Source organism: Homo sapiens, chromosome 1 (genome assembly GCF_000001405.40).
Source record: "Homo sapiens chromosome 1, GRCh38.p14 Primary Assembly".
NCBI lineage: Eukaryota > Metazoa > Chordata > Mammalia > Primates > Hominidae > Homo > Homo sapiens.
This window is the reverse complement of record NC_000001.11, coordinates 143,321,667-143,347,079: the sequence shown is the minus strand read 5'-3', so window position 1 is coordinate 143,347,079 and position 25,413 is coordinate 143,321,667. Positions and strand designations below refer to the sequence as shown.

General features: G+C 49.7%; 2 long non-coding RNA genes across 2 annotated transcripts; one reads left to right on the top strand and one right to left on the bottom strand.

The window, feature by feature from the left end:
• Positions 1-1,948: 1,948 nt before the first annotated feature.
• On the bottom strand, positions 1,949-19,458 carry LOC105371175 (uncharacterized). Its single transcript, XR_922007.3, has 4 exons — positions 19,389-19,458; positions 15,851-15,996; positions 3,793-3,901; positions 1,949-3,045 (listed from the first exon to the last, which is right to left on the bottom strand). It is a non-coding gene; the product is annotated as an uncharacterized LOC105371175 (long non-coding RNA).
• Positions 19,459-20,070: 612 nt separating this feature from the next.
• On the top strand, positions 20,071-25,191 carry LOC105371172 (uncharacterized). The gene is made up of 3 exons (XR_922006.3): positions 20,071-20,411; positions 22,120-22,290; positions 23,155-25,191. It is a non-coding gene; the product is annotated as an uncharacterized LOC105371172 (long non-coding RNA).
• Positions 25,192-25,413: the final 222 nt, after the last annotated feature.

The window sequence follows — 25,413 nt, the reverse complement described above, 5'->3', positions numbered from 1 at the left end:
ATTTGACGTCTATGACACTGTCTATTGTTTCTGCTATTGTTAACTGCTATTAATCATCAGTCCTCTTTGATTAGGGCATAAACAAGATGAATTTTTTCCTCAAAGATTCGTGTGTAGGGTCTCTTACTGAGGGCTTCCTCTTCAACATCATCTCATACCTTCTTAAAACAAGTTATTCATTTGTAAGCTGTTGATTTCTTTGGGGCATTGTTCCCATAAACTTTTCATGAAGCATTAGTGATTTTACCATTTTTCACCCAAGCTTCATAATAAATTGATGTTTGTTCTTGCTTCGATTTTAGCAGAATTAATGTTGCACTGATGTGGTCTCTTTTCAAACTGATGTCTTATCCTTCTTAGTGTCTCAAACTAGATCCTGTTCAGACATGTTATGACAAGTTAAAGACTCTGTCTCAAAAAGTCTTTTTTTAAGTAATAGGACAATCTTCATACCATCCTAATTGGCCAGTTATTAGCTCTTGGGAAACTGGGTTTTAACTAATTGTTTTAAACACATGCCAGCCTTAGATTTCTATCCATGTTGTAAACATACTCTTCAAGAAAAAAAAAAAGATATAAAATGTGTGAAGGCTGACACTGGGGCACTCTCCACCCAAGCTCCCTCCAGGGAGTGTGATCCAAATGCCCTCCCTTCCCGGGCTGCTGCCTCGGTTGTGCCGGACCCTCACATCACTGCCTGATTCATCACTGCCTGATTCGGCTGCCTGATTGTGGCCTTTGCCTGGCCTTGCTCCCTATTTTAAATGACACTCTCGCCACACCTTCACATACCCATGACAACAAACTGGGTTTACTTCTGTCTACTCATCATGCCTGACTTTCCCCTTTGCAAACATCATGACGGGATGTGATATTCCTGATCCTAGATTCTGCTTTCCCTTTCTTTCCCTCTCCATTACCATTTATTGAGTGGACACCTACTGTGTCAGGCACTGTAATTGGTGTTTTACAAACATTATTACTATTACCCACAACCCTACAAGACAGATATTGTTCCCACTTCACAGCTGAAAAAAGATTACAGGCTGACTACCCCTTCTCTGAAATGCTTGGGACCAGAAGTGTTTTGGATTTTGGAATACTTGCATTGTATTCCAAAACCCGAAATGCTCCAATGAGCATTTCCTTTGAGTGCCATATCAGCAATCAAAAAGTTTCAGATTTTGAAATTAGGGATACTAAACCTGTACTACTGAAGGTCTTGCAGCTAGTAAATGGCAGGGTATGATCTGAACCAGACACAAGTGGTGATTAAGTCAAATCATTACTAGAAGTCACCTTACAGAGAAAACAATCAACATGAGGTACATTCTGTCACAATGCTTATGCTGTTTAGATTTAATGTAGATATATTTGCATTTGAAAGTGCAAATACTGTCTTTATAAAGTCTTTGAAGAACAGAGTTAGCCCTTGTTATTTCTATGGTTAATTCAAAGTGCTAATAGCTAAAAACCAGAAGTCATTCCAAAGTTTGCATGAACAAAACTCACAAGAAAGTTATAAAAATATTTTATTTAAATGGTACAGAAAAAAATATGTATACTTAAAAATGATTAAAACTTCACATTAGGAAATGCTAAAAACCCAGTAATTTACACAATGATAAAATCTAAAGTGATGGGAAAACATAAAATATTTTCATTTGGTCCTGTCACCTAACAAAACGATCATAAATATGAGATTATAGTAATTACTAAAGCTGGTTAAAGGCACATGACAACGTAATTCCTTTATACATATCCAGTCATTTTATACAAGGAACTGCTATCCCTTAAATGGAAGAGTGAACTATTTGTTTAAAATATTAAGAGTGCATCATGTACCTATAATGAAACCACTTTCTCCAAAGACTCAAACAGATTAACATTGCAAAATAGTATTTCTGTATCACTGACTTCTGAAAATTTTAATAATTTAAGAATATGCAAGTGAAATATAATTTATTCTGGTTTCAAAAATAGTTATACAAAGTCACAATTTTCCCCAGGAAACCATTCACTTCATAGCTGCAAAAACACACTGTAGCTTTTCTGTTAGGGTCTGTCATGCTTTCAGCTAGCTGGATGTTTAACCATTCACTTCAAATTTACGTGTCCAGCCATGCACGGTGGCGTGGGCCTGTAGTCCCAACTACTTTGAAGGCTGAGGCAGGAGGATCACTTGATCCCAGGAGTTCAAAGCCAGCCTGGGCAACATAGAAGACCCTATCTCTTAAAAAAAAAAAGTATATATCCTTAAATCTGAAAGAAAACCAGCATTTATGTAACAAGTAAAACATTCTATCTTAAGCTATTGCATTTAACACTAAAAAGCATAGTTCACTCTGTGATCTACAACGTTGTCTGAGTCTCCATTACAATTGTAAATTCATGTCAGGGTAAGAGCTCCCAAACATCTGTAAAAACTCAAAATTCAAGAGTCAAAGAAGGGGCTGAGCACATGAGAAGGGGAGAGATGGGTGACAGGGTCAGGTGAGGAAGTGTTCTGAGATGTGTAGGATTCCTCCGGGCCCAAAGCAGCTTGTGGCACCACATGCATACAGGAACGAAGGGCCTCCTGTGAGGGCTCCCAGTGGTTCCAAGACACAGCAAGGTGCCTGAAAGAGGCTGGAGACATTGGCGTGGGCATGGAGGTGCTAGCAACTATTTTCAGACTGCTAACAATGAGACTGTGTCCATTTCTTCTTTGTACAGTTACCATTGACCTTCCTTTAAAATCCCACAGGGAGAACATGCTGTTTTTAGCAGAAATGTCAGTTTTCATTAACTCCTTGAAAATTTAGCGTATTAACTTTCATTTCCATGAGCTTCAATTTCCACACCTGTCAACTGCTGTATAAAGCAGGTTTCCTGCAAGTTCTGATGTAAGTGACCTGACAGGAGGCACTATCTTTGTCCTTCTCAACATGCCTCTAAGCATCTGGAGTGAGTATTCTCAATATGCACTTATTTAATAACAGAGTTATCCGACACTCAGAAAACAGCCTCCACTGTGTAAGGCAGCAGATCTCAGGATGGGGTGATCTGTAGGGAGGCAGAAATTCTATAAATAACACCAAACAAAAGCTGATTGTGTCATCCAACACATTTTTATGAGGAAGTCAGAATAATTAGAAGATGGTAGAATTTTTTTTCCCAGTTGGGTAAAATTGTCCATTCTTCCTGTATTCCCATTTCTTAAGAATGATCTAGCCAACAGTCATTGAATATAAGCTGACACAAATTAATATAATTTCAACATAAAATGGTCTAATGTGTGAATTTAACTATATTGGAAGGTACAAATCCTGTCTTTATGAGGTCTTTGAAAGGCAGGGTACCTTCTCTAAAAAGTAGTCACTTAGAACCAACTTTTACAAAAGAAAGAGTCTCAGCCCCCAACCCCTGCCAGCCTGGGCAAAATAAGGAGACTCTGTTTCTACAAAAAAAATTTTAAAAATTAGCCAAGCGTGGTAGCACATGTTTGTAATACCAGCTCCTTGGGAAGCTAAGGTGGGAGGATCGCTTGAGCCCCCAGGTGGTCAAGGCTGCAGTGAGCGGTGATCATGCCACTGTACTCCAGCCTGGACAACAGAGTGAGACACTGTCTCAAAAAAAAGGAGTCTATCTCAGAGTTCAACGAATGGATAATTCTAGTGTGGACAACTCTGGTGTAAACATGACTGAAAATAATTCACAAATAGTCTGTTACAGCTCCATCCACTGAAAATTGTCATAAAAGACATTTTTCAAATGAGTTCATTTTTAGAAAAACCATTCCAGATATCTTACCTTCGGAAATCATCCAAGGAGTGTGATAAACATTACAACCCCCATAAACTGGGTAAACAACAACAATGGAGTGAAAAACGACCACACATGCCATAAAGCAATGTTGAAGCTGAAAAGAACAAGACATAAACAGTTGACAACTCAAATATGCATCAATATATTTTATTCTAGAATCCAGATTTAAAGTATTCAATGTAGAAAAGTTCATCCAGTCAGCAACCTTCTCCATGTATCATATTTCTCAGCTATGTGACTTAGCCAATGCTGGAAAGAAAACTCTAGATATACTTACACAAGTATCACAATTTCTTCAAGAAGGCCCTGGAACTGGAACCACTAAAGGTCTCCTAATAGGAGTTGACATGGCTTAATAGAAACTGCAGTCTCTTAGTTTCTGCACTTGAACAAGAATTTAAATGGCTACAGCCCATTTTTATGACATCACACACTAAACTATCATGGTAAAAAAGACCAAAGTATTTTCTCTTAAAAACAGAATGAAAACAGTTATCACTTATAAGCTGCTATTCTATATTTCATTGAGAAGAACACTATTCCTGTCATCAAAGTAAAATTAAAACACTTTCTAAGTGTAAAGATTGTTAGTGACTGAAATTTCTAAGAACAGAATAGGAAAAACTATATTCAAATAAGTTCAGATGGTTATTGGTTTTAACATATAATATTTTGATAAGTATGAGTATTAAATAACTATAATCACACTGTCTAAAAAATTAATATTTCTGGAGATGATCTTAGCCTTATGGGAAAAAGTAAAAAAACATATCTGTATGCCCCCACATACAGGTTAACAATAACCACATCACACTGTCAAACACCCTTGAACTTCAACTACAGAAAATAAGTCATAGAAAGAATATGTATAAAGGTATATGGTTCTTCCAAAATAAAAATTCAATTAGGCCGGGGGTGGTGGTGCATGCCTGTAATCCAGCACTTTGGGAGGCCAACACAAGCAGATGGCTTGAGGCCAGGAGTTTGAGACCTGCCTGAGCAGCATGGCGAAACCCCATCTATACAAAAAATATTAAAAATAGCCAGATGTGGTGGCACATGCCTGTGGTCCCAACTACTCGGGAGGCTGAGTGAGGTAGGAGGATCACTTAAGCCTGGGAAGTCGAGGCTTCAGTGAGCTGTGATCATGCCACTGCACTCTGGCCTGGGTGACACAGTGAGACCCTGTCTCCAAAAAAAAAAAAAAAAAAAAAAAAAAAATCCAATTGATATAAAGAAAGAAAAAACTAGAGAGCTACGCACAACATAGGAAAAGTAGTTTTCTTTCTGGTTGTATCAGAGGATATATTTCCTTTGTGTTTTTCTGTAATTTACAGATTTTTTTTCCTCAGTGAGCAAGTATTACTTTTATAAACTGAAAAAAAACCTGTATTTTTCATCGAGTATTTAATTAACTTATGAAGAAGGTTATTCATTGTGGCATTGTTTGAGTATAAATATAACGAAGTCCAACAACAGAAGACAGGTTAAATAAATCATGTTATGTCCATGCTGTGAAAACTATGCAACTGTTTAAAAAAATGAGACACATCTATATGTACCATTATGGAAGAATCCCAAACTATAAGGATCCACTGAAAAACAAAAGGAAAAAAAGATGAACAACCACTTTGGAAAGCAGTTTGGCATGATTTACTGAAGTCAAAGGTATGTACATCCAACAATTTTACCCCTTGGGGTGTATATATATATATACACACACACACACACACACACACACATATACGTACATCTCTACACCCAACAGAAATGTGTTCACTGTGCTACAAGAGCCATGTACAAGAATGCTCTTTATAGCATCCTTCATAGTAACCCCAAACTGAAAAAAATCTAAACACAACCAACAGTGGAAAAGAAAACTGGGATTCAATTAAACAATGGAATGCTAAAGAGCAATGAAGATGAGTCACTGTTCCCGGCTACAATATGAAACAACTGCACACAATGCTGCACACAGCCAGCTCAATGTGAAGGAATACACCCTGTATGAATCCATTTCTATAAAGTTCAAAAGCACAGCTGAAACAAAAATAGAATATCTAATGGAAGCAAAGCAAGTAGTTACCATGAAGGTCAGGGCAGTATTTACCGGTGGCAGGAGGGATGGTGCAGTAACTGGGAGGGAGAATGAAGGGGGTTCCCAATGTACTGGCTCAGTTTACACCAATGCTCACTTCATGAAAATTCATTCATTTCAGTTTTTTCCACTTTTCTATATGTATTGTACGTCATAATAAAATAGACTTAAAAAGCAAAATGCAGAATATGTACAGAATGTCACCATCTGTGCTTTAAATAACTAGATCCATAAATAGAAGGAGAAAGAGATACTAATGAAAAGGGAACCAGAGAGCATGAATGACCAGGAGACTATTTTTCTGTTTTAACTTTTTTACTTTCGAAGTTTGGACCAAGTATATCACTATCTGATCAGGAGGTGGGGGGCGTTGTCAGCCCAAGCAGCTGCCACCGTGAGCAGTGGACACAGGACCAGCTTCTGGGGATGATCCTGTCCTCTCCTAGCACAGCCCCGTGCATGGACAGGGCATCCATGCCATCCGTGTCACCCAGGGCAGGTCACTAAGCCTCCCGCAGCCCATTTCCCCGAGTCGCCCAGGCGCGGTGGAGCACATGCAGCACAGTTGTTTTAGGAATTGGATGACTCACTGAGCTCCTGACAAGTAGTAGGCTCGGCACGTGGCTGTGGCACTTTTTTCTAACTGCCTGGGTTCCATCTCAACTCCCAGAGAGTGAACATCCCGCCTCTCATCTCAGGACTGGTGCTCTCTGAAGCATTAAGTAGGAAATTGAGAGTAGTAGCAAGTGAGACTTAGGGGGCAGGTAGGCAGAAATCAGTGATGGCATAGCCGCGCCACCATGACCATCCTGGCCATTGTCTCCTGTGTCTCCTGCTCCTCGAGGTCTTCAAAGTCTCATGCTGCCTTCTCCAGCAGCTGCTCTCTGTGATGGGAGGGTGGGCACAGGGTGGGTTTGTGGGTGATTCTGCTGAAGCCAGGGAGATGACGTCTGTCCAAGGACCCTCAGCCTGGAGCCCAGGCTCCAGGAAGCTCTGTGGGGGACAGCTGACGTCACTGGGCATCTCCTTTCTGTCTGCTCTGCTCACAGAAACCTGCAGGACACTGCCCATAAGGTGAAGTGAGCAAAGAGGCCAGGCCAGTCCTTCCCAGCCCCATGGAAGCCAGTTCAGCAGGACCCTACATGGATGGGCTTCTGCAACTGTGAGCAAAGGGGGCCCATCAGGCTGTGCCCAGCCCCTAGGACACACAAGGGAAGGGCTTCTTCCCAATACCTGCCACCTGCTGCCTCTGCACAGCCGTGGTGTGCACACTGCTGCAGGGAGCAGGCACCCTCATCCCTGTGGCCCATCTCCCCCTTCTTGTCCTCATTCTGAGGCCATACAAAACTGGCCTGCAGCATCCTCACCCTCAACCTTGCCCTGCTGGGAAAACTTAGGCCCTCAACTAAACTCGGGCCCCTGGACGCACTCGCTCGGCCGCAGTTCTCAATCTTCCCTCTGCCTGGAAGGCCCTGTCGTGTGTTTCACACTTGCTAAGCAGAGTCCCCTCTGAACTCAGCCCCCTGGATCCAGCCCAGCCCTCCTGGATCCACTTGCCAGAGCAGCCCCGGACCCCGCCAGCCCCTCCCACTGACTCCAGTGCAGGTCAGTGAAGGTGACTATGACAGCTCTGGTAATCCTGGAAGAACCCCCAGGATTGAACACAGCTCTTGGGCTCTGATTACAGCCAATTACCATAATGGAGAGAATATCTGGATTCTCCCCTAATTTCCTCTCCTCTTAAAATTTTCAATTAAGAGCCTAATCTTGATGGAAAATGGCTGCTTTCTGGAGTATCCTCCGCAGTGCTGATTCCTCATTGCTAAGTGCTTTTTCTAGACAGATAGAGGCTCTCGATGATTCCAGATAAAATCAGAGCAAAGGAGCTTACCCAAAGAAAGGAGGAGAGCAGAGCAGCAATAGGCTATGCCCCGGAGCCCTCCCCACTGCTGGAGACACCAGGTGGGTGAGGGGTCTCTTGGGCCCTTCCAGCCTGCAGAGCTGCTGAGAGTCAGGCCTGGCTGCCAACAAAGCAGCTGAAGTCTTGAGAAAACTTCCTGATTGCATTAGCGAGGTTGCAACACCAGGACATAATCAAATCTCCCTGGAGGACGTGGCTTCAGGAAGGGCTGCTACAAGCCAGTGGCAGAACAAGGGCAACCAGGGTCAGACACGGTGGAAGGAGGGAAGTCCCAGAGCCGAGCATGGGTGGACATCAGAGGGGTGTGGGCTGCACCATCTGGGTGCAGGGGCCAGCAGGCAGTGCGGGTCCACCCAGCCCAGGGCCAGCCTTTCCCAGCAGTCGCGTGCAGAAACCTGGCACACGTCATGGGGCAGCGGTCCCATATCATAGGCCCTCCTGGTGTTAGCAGTCAGGAGGGTGCCTAGAAAAGCCTCCCACAGCCACAGGGACAGCAGGATCTGAGCCCACCCTCCACACCAGAAGCCTGCCCAGCACCGTAGGCAGGGCCCGGGTGCCCTGCTCAGGAATGAGCTCTGCTTCCAGCTTGGCCATCCTAGTTCCACCCTGTCTGTAACTTAGCCGACCAGGAAGATGGCTGTGATGACCACAGAAAATCCTGACACAGAGCTGGCATGAAGGAGCTGTGCCTGTGGGAGCTTCAGAGTCCTCAGGCCAGGCTGGCCCTGGCTCTGCCACCTCTTGGCTGGAATGCCTTCAGGCACCTACTGAGCCTCTCAGGGGCTCAGCATCCTCATCTGTGGGACACGGATAATAATAGGGTTGTTTTGAGAGTAAAAGCACAAAACACAGAGCCTGGCTGGAGAAAGCACAGGTAGCTGAAGTCAGCCAAGGCTGAGTTAAGTGTTCTTCTTAGAAAAGCGGACAGGCCATTCCCTGAAGGCATCAGTGCGGGCAGGAGGGAACCTGCACTTTGCAGTTCCAACACCTCAGGACACAATTCCTGCTAACCTGACCCACAAAAGACCAAAGGACACACCCAAGATCCTGGACCAACGTCCCACAAGGATGCCTCCTGGTTTCTTCTCTAAGAATACGTCTTAAAATGTTCCCCAGGAAGCTAACTCTATATTCCTAATGTATGGACCATGGAAAGAAAACAAGTGTCTCAGTAGGTTTGTTCAACAAATGTGCAAATGCAGAGATGAACAAAGATGCCCAAAGTCAAGGAGCAGCTCAGTCGCCTCCGACATGCTCGGGGGCCACAACCACTTCCAACCTCTGCCCTGTTCACACTTTCCTCCACCCAGATTCCCCTCTTGCCCTGGCACTCCAGGAATTGTTTGATGTCCTGGAAGCTCCCTTTCTCTGTTCCACAGCCCCTGAGGCTGGTACCTCCCTGCATGCGTGTCCACCTCACCCACTGAGTTCCAGGAGCAGGCGTCTATCCTGCTCGCCCTGACTCAGCAGGGAGGGCTGAGCTCTGGAGCCTGAGTGCACCCAGACCTGCCCCATGGCCTCCTGTGCCTCTGTGTCCTCCTCACCCTCGACTCACCAAGGAGCCCTGAGGACGTGAGAACTGGAACATGCCCAAGACCCACATCGGGGCCTGGCACACACCAAGCGCCTAGTGAACGCTTGATGATTGAGGACAGCATCGCTTCTTCTAAGAGGGAAAAAAAGGAAAGTCAACCAGAGACAATTTGTAAAAGATGGCTTTTGACTGAGGCCTTGAAGGATGGGCAAGGATGGGCAAGGGGAGGGGGGACTCAAAGTGCAGGATGAGAAGGCTCTAGGTGCCTGAGTGCCTGTGCATGTGAGCATGCATGTGCATGTGTGTGCATGTGTGTGTGCATGAGACTTGCAGCCTTGCATGTGTGCGTGCATATGCATATGTGTGTTCATATGCGCATGCATGTGTGTGTGCCCTAGTCCAGACAGGGTTCTGAGTGCACTGTGGGGGACAGATGATTTCACACTCCGCCCTGAGTCTGAAATCAGTGGGACAGATGACCTTGAAGAAGGCCTTATGGCTCACTTAGTGTGAGCCAGACTCCATAGAGACAGTGACGGCAGGACACATGCATGGGGGTCCACCTTCCCAGAGCTGGAGCCCACATAGCTCCAGGACCTCAAGGGAAGCCCAGGGTCTGAGGGGCCCAGGAGGCCCATCCATGTGATGGACCCAAGGAGACTTTGGTGGCTTCTCTGTTAAGATTTGAAGGGGGCCAGGTGTGGTGGCTCACGCCTGTAATCCTAGCACTTTGGGAGGCTGCAGCAGGGGGATCACGAGGTCAGGAGTTCAAGACCAGCCTGGCCAACATAGTGAAACCTCATCTCTACTAAAAATACAAAAATAAAAATAAAAAATTAGCCGGGTGTGGTGGTGGGTGCCTGTAGTCCCAGCAGTTTGGGAGGCTGAGGCAGGAGAATCGCTTGAACCCAGGAGGCAGAGATTGCAGTGAGCTGAGATTGTACCACTGCACTGCAGCCTGGGAGACAGAGCAGGACTCTGTCTCAAAAAAAAAAAAAAAAAAAGATTTGAAGGGAGCCCAGGGGGCAGGACTGGGTGGGCACAGGATGGAGACAGTGACACCCTTGGTCTTGGGTGGCCCCTGCCAGCCCCAGCATATCCTCAGCAGATAGGGTGACAACAGCGCCTCTACCTCTAGTGGGAGGCGCAAGAGAAATTCACACGATGCACTTGCCTGGGCTTGGTGAGTGGAAAGCTCCCCACTGACTCGAGGGCTGGTGGTGAGGATGGAGAGGGAGGTGGAGATGGAGGCGACAGCATGGGCAGAGCAAGAGCACAGCCGTGGAAGGGAGGTCCTCCCAGCTAGCCTTTGGGAGGCCCATGGCCAGTCTCGGGGCAGGAGGAAAGAATGTGAACCAAAAGCGGAACGTCCAGCCAGGGGAGGCCCCAGCAATGACTGTATCAGGGCTGAGTGTGATCACAGGAAAAGTCACCTAAGGACTGAAATCCAGTGGAGTCAAGACTACGTGGAAGCCTATCTCTCCATGATGGCAACTTTGGAAGAACGTGTGACCTTGTGGAAGTGCACAGAAGGCACTGCTGGCCTGAATGGGTCCTCGGGCTGCGGTCTCGGGGCCGGCTTCTCTCCCTTCCCCAGACCTGCTGTGGCTCCATCCCCTCTCTCCTGCATCCTGGGATTGCCTCCAATTAACTACCTGCTTACAAGCCTTTTCTTTATTTTCTTTTTGCCTTCTTTTCTTTACATGTAAAACATGAGTCCATCTGGAGCTTATTTTAAAGCACAGTATGAGGACTGACATTGACCTGTTTTTTTAAATGAAATAACTAGTTGTCCCAACCCTGCTTGTTGGATAACACTGCTCTGTTTCAGGAGTACCCCCACTGTCATACACCCGTGGGTCCATACCCCTGGGCTCTCCATCTGGGCACTCCCCTGCCTGTGGCACCTCCTTCCTGAGGGCCGGCCTCACCCAGGGCCCAGCTGCCCTCTCCATGGCCTTTGTCTTCCTTTCCTGATGCCTCAGATTTCCCCCATTCTCTGGCACTCTTTCCATCCTCCTGGCCTCACTCTGCACCTCCCCTGAGGTGCAGGACTGCCCTGCCCCAGCCCCCAGCTTCCTCACTCCCAAAGCCTTGTGCCACTGAAGCACGAGCTCCAGAGTGCACCTGGATGGCAGCTTCTCTCCTGGCCAACAAACGCCTGGTGCTGGCTGCCCTCCCAGCATCTCCCCTCAACTCCTCAGCTCCACCCCAGGGCCTTAACACACACATGCATAGCACACACACATACAAACATATGCACACACAGACATGCACACAAATGTACATACGGACTTACACAGACACACACAAATGTGCACACATTCGTGCATACACAGATGTGTTCATGCAAACACACACGTGCACGCTCACGGGCACGTACACATGTGTAGGTTATGCTAAGAAATCCATTTTGTGTAGAAGACACTCAGGCTCAAATATGTGTCCAAAGTCACACAGCTATGGAGCGGCAGAACTCAGGTCTCTAGCGCACACAGCCCCGACTTACCGCAGTTCCACTTAACAGTTTTCAACTTTATAGTGATGCAAAAGCCATCCACAGTCAGCAGAAACCCTCGTGTGAGTCCCACACGGCCAGTTTTTCACTTTCAGTACAGCAGTCAATGATTACATGAGGTATCCGACACTTGACTACAAAACAGGCTTCGTGTTGATGCTTCTGCCCACCGCAGGCTCAGGGCAGTGTTCTCAGCAGGCCAAGGTGGGCCCCCCCACGCTGTGCTATTCGGTAGTCAGGTGGACTCAGTCATTTTCCACTCGCAGCGGCCTTATTGGGCCGCAGCCAGGGGTAAGTTGAGCAGTGTCTGTACTTTTAGCTCCACCCTGGGTATTTTTAAGTGGCAGATTTACAACAAAAAATAAAAATAAAAATGAAAAAATACAGCGTTCCAAATAGTAGGGGCATAAAAGGAGAGAATGCACGTTGTGGACAGCCCATGCCTGGGAGCATAAGCACTTCAGGGGCATCACCAGGCGTGACTGGCTATTGTTCCTGCTCTTCCTGGCAGCAGCGGCCTGGGCCTGAGAGGGATCGCCCTGGCCACAGCTGTAGGCAAGGCTGCTGGGAGCCGCCACGCTCCGCGATAGCGAGTCTGCGGCGCCACCTCGTGGGTGCTGCGTGGAACTCCCCGTGGTGCGGGCGGGGAAGGCCGGGTCCCCACAAAGCCGGAGCCCGAGCACAGCGGTGGGAGCTCGCCCCAGGGCATCCCATAGCACCCGGAGACGGGGGCTGGTCCCCCAAAACCCTCAGGGGTGAGAGGAAGGAGGTCCCCAGCCTGCTGAGAGCTGTCCTCTGAGCACGCACTCGCGCACACTCACACGTGCATGTGTGCATCCTCGGGCACCCTGATGCGTTCACATGCACGTACACGCGTGTGCACACGCACAGTCTTTCACAAGCGTATGACGCGTTCACACAAGAGTGTGACGCGTTCACACGCACGCACACTCCCTCTCCCTCGAGCCTGGAAGGCGCACTGGGCTCATAGGGGTGGAAACCTCTACCGCGGCAGAGGCATGGCGCCAGGGCCAGGATGCTCGCTTTTATTTCAGATGTGAAAACTGAGGCCCGAAAGAGACAGCCAGTGTCCAACCCTGTCCAACGTCTCTGCTGATTGTGCCTCCTGTGTGCGGCCGGGGCCGGTGTGAGGGCTGCGGGCCCACCGCACGCCTGGCCCGCCCCAGGGCCTCGAGCCACTTCCTCAGGAGCTGCTGGCAGCTGCAGCGACAGCGCGCCCAGAGCCCGAGGGTCCCATGGAGCCAGGCTTCCCAGCACACAGGCGCGGTGGAGCCTCGGGGTGGGCATACACCCCGCGAGCTCGCGGGGGCTGGGCACTGCGGGTCCTCGGGTGGGGACTCTGGAGTTCAGTCTTGAAGGACACAGTCACTGAGGGTCAGGGAACCAGGAGGGTAGGGAGAGTAGGGAGGGGTGCCTAGGCCTAGTGGGAGAAGCATGTGAAAGTTCCCTAAGAGGGCTGGGGGTGAACAAGCGCTCGGCCCGGCCTCTCCCGGTAGACTGCTCTGGTGCCCTGAAGCCTCCCTTCTCCAAGGCCCCATGGACGCCCCCAGAGGGGTGACGCCCTCGCCCACGCTGAGCTCTGAGTGCTGCACGAGAACTCCCAGAGCCGTGTGCACACGCGCTCCCCGTGTTATAACTGGCATTAAGTGCACTCACATTGTCGCATATCCCCTACCACCGTCCATCTCCAGAACGTCTTCATCTTCCCAAAAGGAAACCAGACCCATTGAACACCAACTCCCTCCTTTTGTTAACCATTGCTCTTTCTGTATTTGAATTTGCCCATTCTGGGCCCCTCATGTAAGTGAAATCGCAATGTATTTGTCCTTTTGTGGCTGGCTTATTCCATCTAGCACAATGTCCTCAAGGTTCATGTGTGTTGGCACACCTCTCAGAATTTCCCTCCTGGCTGGGTGATATTATAGGCTCACGCCTATTATCCTAGCTGTTAGGGAGGCAGAGGTAGGAAGATAGCTTGAACCCAGGAGTTCGAGACCTGCCTGGGCAATATAGCGAGACTGCATTTTCCACAAAAAGAAAGAAAAAAAAGAATCTCCTTCCTGGTAAAGGTTCAGTAACAGTCTACTGTATGCATAACCACATTTCGCTTGCCCATCCACTCACCCATAGACCCTCAGAATGCTTCTACCTTTTGACTCTTGTGAATCACGCTGCTTTGAACATGGGTGTGCAAATATCTGTGAGAGTGCCTGCTCTCAAAAAAATCCACATTCTTGGCACCATGAAGAATCACCTCTCACAGACACCAGCGAAAACCAAGTCTGTCTGAGAGCAGAGGGTGAGGAGGGGAAAGCCGGGCTGCGGATCACAGTGGGCGGAGGAAAGCCCACCCTTGTGTTCCCATGTGTGGGAGGAGAGAGGAGAGATGCCCTCTAGTGAAGGAACTCTTGTAGCAGCCAGCTCCATTCCTGCTTGGCCTGCGGAGGGCCAGCTCAGGAGCCCAGACCAGGAAGAAGTCAAATGACCGACAAGATCCATCAGGAAGCAGAAGTGTGCTGTGTCTCATCGGCAACAACAAACAGAGCTAGGACCAGCCACCCACCCCCCAACCCAGGGGAAATGCATCCACCACACAACTACCACTGCTGCGCTCATGACACTCTCAGAGACAGGCACGGGAGCTCCTGGCAAGGCACAACCAGGGCAAGTGACAGTTTGCCAGTCCTGGGCAAGCAGACACTTATCCTCTCTCCAGTCCCCAATCCCACCAGCCTGCACAAGCAGAGAAACATCCTGCATAAATTAAAAGATCATCTGGATCATCAAAAGATCTGAGCAAACAAAACGACTGAGACAAAAAACAAACAAAACAAAACAAACAAAAAACAGAACAACAACAACAGAAGAACACTCATTTTTACAGAGAGATTTGAGCCCATCCCAACAGAGTACAATGCTCTTTCCAAGCTCATGGATGGCGTTTGGGAAAATTTAGCTGTGCTAAAGGAGCAGGAAGCCTCAGCCCCTTTCCCAAGAATTGCTGTTACACAAATCACATTCTCTCACCAGGGTGCAACAAAATTAGAAACATGGAATAACAAAGGCCATGTTAAAAGTGCATTTTGGGGCCGGGCATGGTGGCTCATGCCTGTAATCGCAGCACTTTGAGAGGCTGAAGCGGGTGGATCACCCCAGGTCAGGAGATCGAGACCACCCTGGGCAACATGACGAAACCCTGTCTCTACTAAAAATACAAAAAATTAGCCAGGCATAGTGGCAAAAGCCTGTAAACCCGGCTACTAGGGAGGCTGAGGCAACAAAATCACCTAAACTTAGGAGGCAGAGGTTGCAGTGAGATGAGATTGTGCTACTGCACTCCAGCCTGAGCGACAGAGTGAAACTCTGTCTCAAAAAAGAAGAAAAAGTGTGTTTTGGAAACAAAGTTAGTTTTCACAATGAAAATTATAAAATGCCTGGAACTCAATAGCAATAGGGTATTACATATTAAAATTATGAAACTCAACAAAATTGACATTTAGGGAGAAATTTATATCCTCAGATTAATTTGTCAGAAACAGGATAAAAGGAGAAAGCTGATGATAATTTGAGTAAAAGAGAAAATAAAAACTAAAATGAAAAACTTTTCAGAAACAAACTACAATAAGTGTGTGACCTATCAAAATCTCTGGATGTGTCCAAAGCAGTTCTCAGGGGAAACGTTATAGCTGGAAGTGTTTGTTAATATGCTTCAACAGAAGACATATAAAATTATATAAACTAAGTAAACATACAAGAAGCTTTTTTAAGGGAAACAAGAAATAAATGTATTTAATTTTAAAACAGCCATAATAAAAGTAGACTTGATAAATAAAACCCAAAACCACTTCTTTGAAAAGACCATTAAAAAAACCTCTGAGAAGTCAAGCAAAAGAGAAAGAAAAGGCACAAATTTTAAAATGTTAGATTTAGAAAAATGGCATAATAACCAACGTGGAGAAGCTGCTTCAAATCAAGGAGACGGGAGGCCAGCTTCATTCCATGGGAGGCCAGCTTCATTCCAGTAGGTTCTGTTTCACCTGGATGAAATGGAAGATTTTCTTGGAATGTATAAATTGGCTTAGCAGGAGGCAGAAAACCTGAATAAACAGAACAAACAGAAATGGTAAGCAGGTGCTCGAGGGGCTCCATCAGCCTCCAGGGATGGGCTGCTGTGTTAGGGAGGGCCAGAGCACAGGGGAAGTGGAGTGTAATTCTTTCTACAAGATTAGCAAGCTGAACTTGAATCTCACACACGCACACACACCACAGTGACATGGAAAGAATCCACAGGACACTTATGAGAGGTAAAAATAGAAAGTTTCTGCACAAAACAATCGTGTGTGTTTAAAAGATACCATGTGGCAGAAAATAGTGATCTATGTTTGCCAGTGTCTAGGAAGAAACCTTGAAGGCGCACGCCAGACTGGCGGCTGGGTTGGCTAGGGAGGAGACGATGGGGTGGGAGCAGCTAAGGACGACACACACTCTTTTAACTCTGTTCCTGTGTTGTCGGGACGTTTACAAACTGAAGATATATATTTTTAATTAATTATTTTTTTTTTAATTTTACTTTAAGTTCTGGGATACATGTTCAGAACATGTAGGTTTATTACATAGGTATACATGTGCCATGGTGGTTTGCTGCACCTATCAATTTGTCATCTAGGTTTTAAGCCCTGCATGCATTAGGTATTTGTCATAATGCTCTCCTTTCCCTTGCCTCCAACCCCTGGATAGAACCTGGTGTGTGATGTTCCCCTCCCTGTGTCTACGTGTTCTCATTGTTCAGCTCCCATTTATGAGTGAGAACATGAGGTACAAACTGCAGATAGTTATACATTACTTTAAAGTAATTAAGTTAAACTAAACTAAATGTAAGCCAACTACATGTAAATAAATAAAACCAATAATAGCAAGATAAAAGTAATTAATACTTAAATAATTACTAATTTATTTCTCAGCTAAAAATTAAAAATTTAGAAAATGTGGAAATGTGTTTCATAATAGGAGGATATTTAAAATGAAAGGGCATTTCTGTAGTCAAATGGGTAGGAGACTCACCCAAACAAGACACAACCTCAAAACCAAAAGGAAAACTATCAGGTTTGATTATACGAATACTGAAAACCTCTGAATACATGAAAGGCAAATTCTATATCCCATGAAACTACCCTTCAGAAATGAAGAGAGAAATAAAGACATTCTCAGAGGAAGAGAATATAGGAATTTGTCACTGGTCAATTTAGAAATGCTAAAAAGTGGCTACAGAAATATGTTCTGTCATTTCCACAATATAAAAAATTAAAACAAAAAAATCAAAATAAAAAAATGGCTATAGAAAGTTCTTATGCAGAAGGGATGAATATGGGACTATGGGAGGAGGGACAAAGGAAAGACGAGAAATGTGGATACATATGCGAGACAATCCACAGTTCTTAAAATCACATTTGACGACTGAAACAAAAACTATACCACCACCTAATACTCAAGCCAGTGATTTATACAAGTGGAAAAGGTAAAGAGACATAAATGCAAGGCAGGTTTCCACACTTTGAAGTGGTAAATACTGGTACCAGTAGACTACTATATTACAATACACATATTGTAACATCCAGAGCAAACACTTTAAGACTATACAAAGAGATACACGCAACAACATTATACAGAAATAGATCAAGATGGAGGGAAAGAAAAAGGAAACAAAAAAGCAAATAATAAAAACATCAGACATAAGCAATTATGTAACAATAAGCACCTTAAATGTAAATGGTCTAAATAAACCAAAAGACAGATTGATGGAGAGCCTATAATAAACACATGGCCCAACTAAATACTGTTCATAAGAAACTTCAAACTCACTTAAGGACCTAAGTAGGTTGAAAGTAAAAGAATGGAGAAAGATATCCTGTGAAATCATTAATTTTTTAAGGAAGCAGGAGTGAATATATTAATATCTCATGAAGTAGACTTCAAGCAAAATAATTTACCAGAGCTGGAGAGGGTCTTCGCTGAATTTTAAGATCTAAAATTTCCTATGCTGCCTTGACATGTTTGAGCCTCACAGGGCCCCAAAGACCTAGCCGTGGGTTTTCCTGTTTCTACCAGACACCCCCTACCCCGCCACCCAACAGGAAAGGCTCCCCACCTGGCTAGTTCTTTTATCAGCCAGAACAGTTGCACCTCAGCCTAAGAAGTTTCACTTCACCTGTCTGCCAGCCCATGAATTTATTCAAACAAGCCAATTGCATTCCCCCTCGGGAACCATTGGTCATCGTGTGCTCTTGTTACTACCAAGCCCGCCTGCTTCCTCAGCCCGCAGCCCTCACTCCACTACAGAGTGCGGTGCCCATCTGACCCTGTGTGGCATGCAGTGTCCTCCTCTGAGCTGTGGGTATATGTGACTAAAACACTGCTGTCAATCGCATCCATCCACGCCAGGTGTCGTGTTCAGCCATCTCCTACACTTTAGGGCAGGGACCCCTCCTTCACCAATGGGGTGAAAAGAGGAAGTGACCATAACAACTGCTTAATGACAAAAGGATTAACCCACCAAGAAGACATCTACTTCAACATCCTCCTCTTAGCAACTGTTAAAACTAGGCAGAGGCCGGGCACAGTGGCTCATGCCTGTAATCCCAGAACTCTGGGAGGCAAAAACAAAGGATAGCTTGAGGCCAGGAGTTCGAGCCTGGGCAACATAGCAAGGCCTCATCTCTCCAAAAAATTTTAAATTTAGCCAGGTGTGGCGGCACACACCTATAGTACCAGCTACTCAGGAGGTTAAGCCAGGGGAAGTACTTGACCCTAGGAAGTCAAGGCTGCAGTGAGTCATGTTCGTGCCACCGCACTCTAGTGTAAGTGACAGAGTGAAACTAGGCACAAAAGGAGCAAGGATTTACAAAAGATCTGAACAGTCAACCAGCAAAATCTGACATCCGTATAATACCCCACTCCCCAACAGCAAAACACACACATTTTTAAAGCCAATAGAAATCTACCAAGATGAGGTACACTTGGGGCAATAAAAGAACTCACAGCAAATCTCGCTGTGTGCCCCTCTGCACCAGCGCCGTGCCCCTCTCTGCACCTTCTTTTCTCACCATGGGGAAGCGTTTGGGGGCCTCTTGAGGGACACCCTAGATGCTTCTACTCAGAGCCCCCAAAGCCGGGGAGCCTCCACTCCTCTGTCTGCAGCCTCCCCTGTCGGTTCTCCGCTACCCAGGGTTCAGTGGCCTGGGGGTGACGGAGGGGGTCGCCTCTGCCAAGGCCCCTCCCGGCGCCTCCCTGGCTCATCCAGCCCACCTTCCTCCCACGCTGGCTCACGCAAAGTGCTCCGGTCACCAGGAGCCCTTCCTGACCAGCCCCAGCCCCTTCTTGGCCTTCGCCCACCCGGCCTCCCCTGGAGCCCTGACCTGGGTGCCGGGCCTGCTGGGTCCAGAGCCCACCCCGCCCTGAACAACCCCGAGTCTCAGCCACCCTCGGTTCTTACCCTTTCACAGCTGGGGAGTGGAGCCTGGGCCTGCGCCTCTCCGCGCCAGAGCCGGCGCCACGGCCTCTCCGCGCCTGCGCCGCCGCTGCGCGCCTCGCCGCCGCTGTCCGCCTCTCCGCCGCTGTCCGTCTCTCCGCCGCGCCGCCGCTGTGCCGCCGCTGTCCGCCTCTCCGCCGCTGTCCGCCTCTCCGCCGCGCCGCCGCTGTCCGCCTCTCCGCCGCTGTCCGTCTCTCCGCCGCGCCGCCGCTGTCCGCCTCTCCGCCGCTGTCCGCCTCTCCGCCGCGCCGCCGCTGTCCGCCTCTCCGCCTCTGTCCGCCTCTCCGCCGCCGTCCGTCTCTCCGCCGCGCCGCCGCTGTCCGCCTCTCCGCCGCCGTCCGCCTCTCCGCCGCGCCGCCGCTATCCGCCTCTCCGCCGCCGTCCGCCTCTCCGCCGCGCCGCCGCTGGCCGCCTCTCCGCCGCCGTCCGCCTCTCCGCCGCGCCGCCGCTGGCCGCCTCTCCGCCGCCGTCCGCCTCTCCGCCGCGCCGCCGCTGGCCGCCTCTCCGCCGCCGTCCGCCTCTCCGCCGCGCCGCCGCTGTCCGTCTCTCCGCCGCGCCGCCGCTGGCCGCCTCTCCGCCGCTGTCCGTCTCTCCGCCGCGCCGCCGCTGGCCGCCTCTCCGCCACTGGCCCCCTCTCCGCCACGCCGGCGCCAGCGCTGTGTGCCTTTGCGAGGGCGGAGCTGCGGTCTCCTCAGCACAGACCCGGAGAGCATTGCGAGGGCGGAGCTGAGTTCTCCTCTGCAGACTTCGGAGATACAGCGAAGGCAGAGCAATGTTCTCCTCAGCAGAGACGCGGGCGGGCGGGCCGGTGGCACCGCGAGGGCGGAGCTGCGTTCTGCTCTGCACAGACCTTGGGGGCACTGCCTCGCTTTGGGACAACTCAGGGCCGCATGGACAGTGAATAAAATCCTTCCTGTTTGCAGCCCTGTTTGTGGTTGGTGGCAGCGATGGACACTGCAGCCAGCCAGAGCGTAGAAAGGCGTCGGGGTAAGTGCACTATCCAGGCTGCACTGTGGGTGGCCTGGGACGGGTTGGGAGCCCTATCTCAGGCGTCACTGCCCGTCTTGGGTGGCCGGTTGGGTGTGCTATCTGGGGCTGTGCTGCCTGCACCGGGCGGGGGGGGGGTGGTTTGGGGGCCAAACCGGGGCTGCACTGCCTTTGGTGGGGAGCCGGTTGGGGGCACTATCCCAGACTGTATTGCTGGCAACAGTGAGGTGGGCTAAGTGTGCTATCCGGGGCTGCACTGTGCGGCTGTCGGGGGGGTGGCGGTTTCGGGTTGAGGGCGCTATGGGGTGCTGTAATGCCCATGGTGTGGGGAGGCGGGGCAGTTTGGGTATGTTGGGTGTGCTATTGGGGGGGTGACACTGCTGGTGGTAGGGGGCAGGGTGGGTTGGGGGCCATATCAGGGGCTGCACTGATGGCTTTAGCTAGGATTTCTGGTACTATGTTAAACAACAGTGGTGACAGGGGGCATCCTTATGTTCCAGATCTTAGAGGAAAAGCTTTCCATTTTTCCCCATTCCATATGATTCTAGCTGTGGGTGTCTTTCCTGTAGTTTTTATTACGTTGCGGTATGTTTCTTCTGTGCCCGTTTCTTTGAGGATTTATAGCATGAAGGGATGTTGAATTTCATCAAATGCTTTTTCAGTTTCAGTTGACGTGATGATACTGTTTTTGTCGTTTATTTGGTTGATATGATGTATCACATTGTATGTTGAGTGACCCTTGGGTCCCAGGGATACATCCCACTTGATCATGATGAATTATCTTTTTAATGTATTACTGAATTTGATTCACTGGTATTTTGTTGAGGATTTTTGCATCAATATTAGAGATCCTGGCCTGTAGTTTCCTTCTTTGATGCTTTTGTCTGATTTTGGCATCACAGTAATAATGGTCTCATAGAATAAGTTTGGAAGTATTCCCTCCTGTTTTTCAAAATAGTTTGAGCAGGATTCGTACTAGGTCTTTAAATTGTTTGGTGTGAAGCCATCAGCAGTGAAGACATCAGTTCCTGGGCTTTTCTTTACTGGGAGACTTTTTCTGATGGCTTCAATCTCATTACTTGTTACCAATCTGTTCTGGTCTTGGATGTTTTCATTGTTTAACCTAAGTAGGTTGTATGCATCTAGGAATTTGCCAATTTCTACTAGGCTTTCCAATTTATTGGCATATAGTAGCCAGTTATGATCCTTTGAATTTCTGAAGTATTAGTTGTAATGTCTCCTTTTTTTAATCTGTTGATTTTATTTATTTGAATCTTGTCTCTTTTCTTAGCCTGGTTAAAAGTTTGTCAATTTTGTTTAGCTTTCCAGAAAACCAACTTTTCGTTTAATCTTGTCTGTTTTTTATTTCAATTTTGTTTGTGCTATGATCTTATTTATTTTCTTATTTTCAGTTTAGTTTGTTCTTTACTAGTTCTTTAAGATGTATTGTTTATTTGAAGGTTTTCTTTTGTTTGGATGGTAGGCACTTATAGCTGTAAATCTCTGCCTTTGTACTGCTTTCTGCATAACAAGTTTTGGTATACTGTGTTTTCATTACCCTTTGTTTCATGAAATTTTTGAATTTCTGTCTTAGTATCTTCATTGACCCACTAGTCATTTATTCAGGAGGGTAGTGTTTAACTTCCATGTGATTGTATTGTTTCCAAAATTGCTTTTCTTATTGATACCTAGTTTTATTCCTTTGTAGTGAAAGAAGATGGCCACGGAGACAGACAGCAGCGTGGTCAGAGTGGTAGGAGCCGGCCATCAGCGAGAGCTGCTCCATGCCTGGCTGCTGGGTCCTAGAGCCTGTGGCCCACTGGCTTGCCTCACTGTGGTTGGTGGTGGTGGTGACAGAGACTGCAGGACGACCAGAGTGGTAGGACAGGGGCTATCCAGGGCTGCACCTTTCGCAGTGTGGGGTGGGTTGAGGGCGCTATCCAGGGTGTCATTGCCTGCATTAGGGGTACTGGTTGGTAGCACTGTACAGGGCTGCACTGCCCACGGCAGGGAGGGTGGGTTATGGGTGCTCTCTGGGGCTGCAATGCCCATGGAGGAGGACAGGTTAGGGCACTATCAGTTATACGCTACTGGCGGCATTGGGGGACGGAGGTGGGGGGCGCTATTGAGGGCAGGGCTAGCCATGGAGCGGGGGCGAGTTCGGTGCTATCAGGGGCTGCACTGCTGGTGTCGGTCAACAGAGTTGGCATCCAAGGAAGGAGTGGTTCTCCTCTCCCTGACTCCACACTCCAGAGGGCGACCCACTCTTGGTCATACTGGAGTGCAGCAGGGCACACAGCGTTTGCGTGGGAATCCTGAGCATGGCAGAGCCCCCACACCCACCGTGGTTCCTGGGCCTGTGTACTGTGGGTCTGTGCCTCAGAGGCTGCCAGGCACCCCTGGGGACACCACGGGGGACAGGGCCCTGTGCGTGGAGGCGTCCGGAACAGGAATTGGCACCTGGGTGTGGAGGGCTGGCTGGGTCTGAATTTTTCTGCTTCTCCTGCTCCCCGAGGAGTGCAGCCCCAGTGGGCCCAATGGTTCCTGTGGAGTGGGGAGCTGGATGCTGTGGTGTCTCCAGCACCCACCCCAGACCCCAGTTCCTGCCCAGCTTGGGCCAAAAGGAGAGGCTGGACTTTGTAGGGTGGGTGTGAGTGCCTTTGCTGAAACTGGCCCCTGCCACCCAGTGGCCGGCATGACAAGTTGAGGCTCTAACCCTTCCACCCCTCACATCTTTCCCTAGGCTTTTCTGGTTTTGCCCGCCCAGCTGCTCTGTGCCAGGAGGAGGAGGAGACACCTAGAGCCTGCGACACCATGGCTCGCCTCGCTGCGGGTGGGCGGCAGTGACAGAGACTGCGGTGCGCCAGAGCGGTAGGAGAGCGGCTGCGCTAGGAGGGCAGGCGGCTGCAGCCAGGGTTGGGGGTCAGGCTTAGAGCGATGGACGGGCTGCAGCAGTGGCCAGGTGGTAGGAGCCTTGTAGGGAGGGCTGGTGCCTTGGCAATGGGCCTGGCTTTGCCCTGCGCCTGCCGTGGATCTGGCCCTGTACTGCCCTGCCTTGCCCTGTACCTGCCCTACTGTTACTTGGACTCTCGGCCCTGTCCTGCTCTGGTCCCATCCTGACCCTGTCTTGGCCCTGTGCTACCCTGTCCCTGCCCTGGTCTTGCCCTGGCACTGGCCCTGCCCTGAACCTGCACTGGCCTGACCTTGGCTCTGGCCCTGGCTCTGGCCCTGCCTCTTGTCCTGACCCTGGTCGTGTCATGGCACTGGCCCTGCCAATGGTCATGGTCCTGCTCCTGTTCTGGCCCTGACCTGGCCTTGGACATGTCCTGGCCCTGCTTTGGCCCATCCCTGCCCTGGCTCCACCATGGGCCTGCCTGTTCTGCCCTCTCCTGGCACTGACCTTGCCCTGTCATGGCCCAGTGGTGCCATTGCCCTGCCTTACCCTGCGCTGGTTGTGACTTGGCCCCGCTTGGTGCTGGCCACTCCCTGGACCTGCCCTGGACCTGCCCTGACCCTGCCCTTGGCTTTTGCCCTGCCCTCACTATGGCCTGGCCCTGGCCCTAGCCCTGGTCCTGCCATATCCCTGGCCCTGCCCTTATCCAGGCCCTGCCCCTGCTGCTGCCCTGGCCCTGGCCTGGAACCTGGTCCTGTCAAGAACCTGCCCTGACTCTGCCATGGCCCTGGCCCTGCTCTGCCTTGTTCCTGGCCCTGACCCAGACCCAGACCCTTTCCTGGCTCTGCACTGGACTTTCCCTGGCCCTGAGCTGGCAATGGTCTGCCCCTGGTCTTGCCATCACCCTGCCCTGCTGCGCTCTGGATGTGTCATCACCCTGCCCTGGCCCTACTCTGCCTTTGACCCTGCCCTGGCCTTACCTTGGCCCTCACCCTAGCCTGCGCTAGACCCTGCTCTGGAGCTGACCCTAGCACAGACCTGGCCCTGATCCTGGCCGTGGTCTTTGTCCTGCCATAGCCCTGGCCCTGAAGTGGACTTGGAGGTGTCCTGGCCCCGGCATAACATGGCTCTGCATTGGCCTGTCCCTGCCCTGCCGCTACCATCTCCTTGCCCTGCTCTGTCCTGTCCCAGTACTGACCCGGCCGTGCTATTTCCCTTCCCTACCCTGCCTTGGCTGTGCCCTGGCTCGGTTCTGGCCCTGGCCCTGGCCCTGCCCTGGACATGCTCTGACACTGCCTCAGCCTCGGCACTAGCCTGGCTCTTTCTTGGCATCAGCTCTGCTCTCTCTGTGGACCGGCTCTTGTCCTGTCCTGCACTGGCCATACCATGCCCTGCCCTGCCCTGACTCAGTCCCGGGTCAGCCCTGGCCCAACCTTGGCCTTGGCATTGCCCCTGGTCATGCCATATTTCTTGCCCTGTCCCTACCCTGGCCTTGGCCCTGACCCTTACCTTGCTGTGGCCCTGCCCTTGCCCTAACGCAGCCCCTGGCCCTGTCATGGCCCTGCCCTGGACCTGTCCTGGCCCTGGCCCTTCCCTGCTTGAGACCTTGCCCTGGTTCTCCCCTGGCCCTGACCCTGAAATGCCTGGCCCTACCCTGGCCTTGCACTGCTCTGGCCCTTGCCCTGACTCTGGTCCTGTCACTGGCCTAGCCCCAGCCCTGTTGCTGGTCTTACCATGGCCCAGACCCTGCCTTGGCCCTGCCCTGACACTGTCCTGGACCCTGGCTGTGCCAAGAACCTGCACTGTCCTTGCCATTGTTTTGCTCCTGCCCTGAACCTGGTCTTCCCCAGGCCGTGGCCATGGCCCTGGCCCTGGCCCTGCCCAGGTCTTGGCACTGTCCTGGCCCCGCCCTGCCCTGGCCCTGCCCTGCCCTGGCCCTATGCTTTCCTGGCCCTGCCTTGCCGGCCCTGGCCCTGCCTTGGCCCTAGCCTGGCTTTGACCCTGCCCTGGCCCTACCTTGGCCTTCACCCTAGCCTTACCTGGGCATTGTGTTGGACCTGGCCATAGCACAGACCTGGTTGTGGCCCTGGTCCTGCTGTGGCCCTGTCT